General features: G+C 42.0%; 2 annotated features.

Annotated features, from left to right (window-relative positions):
* Positions 1,827-2,027: a silencer, noted in NCBI's record as "peak5287 fragment used in MPRA reporter construct". NCBI's record gives its function as "represses an SCP1 promoter by STARR-seq MPRAs in K562 erythroleukemia cells {active_cell/tissue: K562}" and the evidence as "EXISTENCE:reporter gene assay evidence [ECO:0000049][PMID:32103011]".
* Positions 4,274-4,323: an enhancer, noted in NCBI's record as "active region_22664". NCBI's record gives its function as "activates an Ori minimal core promoter by ATAC-STARR-seq in GM12878 lymphoblastoid cells {active_cell/tissue: GM12878}" and the evidence as "EXISTENCE:reporter gene assay evidence [ECO:0000049][PMID:35858748]".

A 4,590-nucleotide genomic window follows, 5' to 3' on the forward strand; every position in this document is an offset into this window, starting at 1 on the left:
TCACAGGGGGCTATGAAAACCTCCTGTAGTTAGAGTCAAGAAGAAAGTCTTCGGGTAAAGAAAGATGAAGTGAGCATGTGGGAAAATGGACAAGAGATGGACTTTTCCAGAGACTTTCCAGTTACCAGAAGACTTTGCTATCTTTCCTGTGTGTTTCTATGGGATCTCTTTGCATCCTTATAAACTCCCTATTGACTTGAGCTTCCTTGAAAGGGTTTCTGTTCCCCAAAACCAACAGTTCCTTAGCTAAAACATCCTTTAGCCACGCTGGCATTTTATTTTGAACTCACCCTCTCCTTGCCCTAGTCTCCAGAGGCTGCAGTCACCTTCTACGTTAGGGAGTGCCTAACTGGTAACTACCTTCATTGCTGATGAGAAATGGGAAAGAGGCAGACACAGAAACTGGTGAGAAGTAAACAGTGAGTAACACCAAAGAGAAGATCAAAGTTCTGTCCTGCCCTAAACAAGGTGGGGCACCACTACTACCTTTGAAACAGGTTGTCCTTTCTCATCTGCCTCAGGTAGGTCTTTGGTTCTTTCAGTAACATTTGGAGCAAGAACTAAAGGAGTCCTTGCAGCTCAGCCTCATCCTTTTATTCCAAGAGGAAGATTGATATAAATTGACCCCAATACAGATACACACACATATAAACAATATTATCTGTCCTAATAGATAATAAATCTCTACAACATTTAAACTAACTATTGTAAGTAATTCATAAGAAAGTCTTACCTGAAGAGGAAACAGAATTGCTCATGATTATCTTAGAAGGGACCTAGTATAAAAGAGAAGAGTGATTTCAAAATAGAGAAAAAAGTTGTTTTTGTTTGTGTGGTTTTTATAATTCTATTGAAAATGGAGACTCAATGATTGAAATAGTGTGGTTCATTGGAAAGATCCTTGGACTTGGAATCAAGGAACTTATTTTAGGAAGAAACATGAGACAAGTGCAAAAATAGAACCAGGCAACAATAAATCAACAAATATCATGAGAGAAGGACACAAAGAGGTGTGGAGCTTTGGAGAAAGGGAGATATTACTTCCACATGGAAATGAACGTGGAGGATTTGATGGTAAAAGGCAGAATCAAAGGAATACTTTTAGGCAAACTAGCGGGATCATGGAATAGACATTGTCTGGACCACAAAGCTTTGATAGGAGTATTTGGAACACAATGCTTCAAATGACTACCACCAGAAGAAAGTTGACTTCCTCATCCCACAATATATCTCTGTGGCCATATCTACTATGGGGATCCAGGGTTGAATATCTAAATATCAGTGCAACACATCTAGGAAAGAAATTAAGAAGAGCATTACTATCAGGAAAAAAAGGTGATGACTGACTGGCTGTGGCAGTTTTCCTGGGGATTAGGGTGTGCAGAGGGGGAAAAGGGAGAGTGAGCTGAAAATGAAAACAAGCAGATGCCATGCATCTCTATAGTCCTTGCAGCCTTCCCCTAAAGCTCCTGTGCCTTTTGAGGTTATGTGTGCAAGACTGTGAGGGGACGCTCTTCCATTGGTCAGTGAACTAATTAGGAGATTATTTGGAAGTGTCCACATAGTTGCCTCAGCCTGGAATCTACAGGGCTCACCAGTCCAGGACAGGCTTTTAGGTTGGTCTCTCCATTCCTGCACTACAAGTTTTCCATACTGCACGTGAAACAAGAATTCAAGCCCCTTGGCCCCATCCTGTGCCACAGAACTGGGGTCTGACTGACTCTCAATCAACTCTGTTTCAACATGGTCTAGGGCAGGGAGCCAAGTCTATGCCACTCTATGGATGGGATGGAAATTTTCTTCGCCCCATTCATGAGAACCTTTTTGATTCTCAGCTTTGTCCTGAGAACCCAGTTCTGGCTTCCTCTGATGCATGAGGCCAGATGACTTCCACTCCCACATTGGCTATAAAACCTTTTCCTTTAAGCAACGCACTCTCTGTCACCACAGGCCATGTGGCCCCCACTTCCCCTAACCACTACAGTTCCCTCTTTATCTCTGCTCCTTGAAGCTTCCCTTTCTTGTTTTTGAATTCAACTAGGTATTTTAATTTTTTTAATTTTTAAAAGCATATTTATGCATTAAAACTGGGGTGGGGGGGGTGTCCATGGAAGCTCAGCCTACTATCTTGGCTGAAATTCCTTTTTAGCTAATAAGTGGCAGAGCTGAGTTTCAAATCTAGATATTCTGACTCTAAAGCCAAGGTTAATTTTTTATGATAACGTGTATCTTCCAAGGAATCTCAGTAAGGCTGAAAGACTATCCAAAGTGACTTTTAACAAAGAATAGATAGAGGCAAACTCATGGAATGATTACCCCCAAAAGCTATTACGGGCTAAAATATTTGGGAAGTTTTCAGAAAATGGCAAAAAATGAAGGTCTGTCATGAGTTATGATATTCTAAAGACTGTCTGACCTTCTGAATATGGCAGAAGGCAGCTTGCCTCTCACAACACTCTCCTATGTGAACAGGGGTCTAACTCCACCTGGTAATTTCTATACCCTTCTTGGCTGTAGTCAGAAGGAATCATTGCAGATGCTCTTCTCATCACTCACATATTCATCTGCCTGTGCACATACATCTCGATGCAAACCCAATGAGATGAGGTTAAGAGCATGGGCTGTGCTTTGAGATGTGAAGAAGTCATGCAACCTGGTATCTCTTGGGGGACAGGCAGAAGAAATATGAGAAACATAGATACTCCTTAAAAAAGATGGCATTTGTCCCCAGCTACTACAACCTCAGGGAGGCTGCCACATTCTTTGTACCAAGTTGCCATGCACTAGACAGCAAAATCTCATCAAAAACACAGCTATATTGATTATTCATTTTTTTCCATTTCCACTAATGCTACCTTCTATAATGCAAGTAATTGAGTATTGATTGAGTATTGACTATACTATAACAATTCAGTTAACTGACTTGCCTGGGAAATGGAGTACTTGGTTAAGTGAGTTTCCTGTTTCTAAATAATTTAGGAGGTTGGAACCTACCTCTGAAATTTTATTTTATGCATGTGTAGATATATTGATCGACTTAAATTAATAAACATCAGGTACAGAATATGACAGCATAGGCTTTGGCACAAGCTTGAGTATGCATCAAGACTTTGCATCTCGTTGGCTGCATGATTTTGGAATACTTTTTTAATTCCTGAGCCTTGGTTCCCTCACCTATAGATTGAAGATAACCTCATTTCCTAGGATTATTGTGAAGATTTTATTAGATCATGTATGAAGAATGCTTGGCAAAAGTCCTGATGTAGAATTCATGTCAACAAGTAGCACCTATTATGACTATTATTGTTATTATGAAACTGAAACTGTCTCATTTCAGGGGAGGCTCCCACAGCATGACAGATCCAAGGTAGACTCAGAGCAACAGACAATCAAAGTCATTTGGAAAAAGTGAGGTTGGAAAATGAAACCAACAATTGGCCTATGGATTTGCACAAGAGAAAGTAAGCAAGTAAAGACTAGATCCTGGGCACCCGTTTGGTGGCTGAGCTTACATTGCTTGAGTCAATGCCCTGAAGCCCATGTGGTTAGTTGTTGACAAAGAAGAGAATTCCTTGTCTTTATCAGATGCAAATCCCCAAGAGGTTCAATTTAAGAGCCATTTCTTGGACTGGCTAATATAACCCAGCAGTTAGAGCCAAGATTATCTTCTGTGTGATTATAGCCTGGTTGGAAGAATCATGGCCTGAGTCTAGCTAAGGAGATTTAGACTGTTGTCACTTATGGAATCCCAGCTAATGAACTCTCACACAGCAGGACATGGTTTGAGGCACATCATGAGACATTTATTCTTTAGAAAAGCCACCCCTCTTTGGCCGTTCCAGGCCACCTTCCAGAGCCCCTCTCTGGTTTCCCACACACAGTGTTTGTTCCTCTGGGCATTGCTTCTCAGGAGGCTGGGAAAAAAAAAAGATTGGTCTTCCAAGGTTACTGAACTTATCTCTTTTCCCTTGCTATACAAACAACGTGTGTGAAGGCCACCCAGACTTTTGCAATTAAAGAGGAACTTGCAGGGAAGGGTATGGCCAAGGCTGTTTCATAGTCTGCCAAGTCAAGGCTCAAGTTGCCTCTGTGGGAGAACTCTCCTGCCATTGCTAACTAAGCAGCCTGTCTGTCGATGGGAGCAGTGGGTACATGGGACTGGAAGCTCGAGTCCCAGGTCATTTTTCTGCCACTGGGAAATGTTTTGAGCTCTGCCAGCATCTGCTCACGGGCCACAAGTTGAAAGTGATTTTACATTAGCAACAGAGATTCAAACAAGGAACATCCAACAAATCCTGGTGACTTGCAGCAGTGGTTCTCAGTGTGCTGTGGACCAGTAGCAGCAGCATTACCTGGGAAATGGTTAGAAATGCAAATGCTTGGGCTCCACCCCATTCCTACCTACTGATTCAGAAACTCTGAGGGTTGAGCCCAGGAAGTGGTTTTAAAAGCCCTCCAGGCGATTCAGATGCAGGCTAAAGTTTGAGAACCACTGGCCTAAGGAACTCTGGCAGTGGGAATGAAGAAAATCATTGCAGGGTTCTTAAGAAAACCCAGGTGTGGCTAAACAGATATGCCTGTCCCCATTTC

The sequence above is a fragment of the Homo sapiens genome, chromosome 5, assembly GCF_000001405.40.
Source record: "Homo sapiens chromosome 5, GRCh38.p14 Primary Assembly".
Classification (NCBI taxonomy): Eukaryota; Metazoa; Chordata; class Mammalia; order Primates; family Hominidae; genus Homo; species Homo sapiens.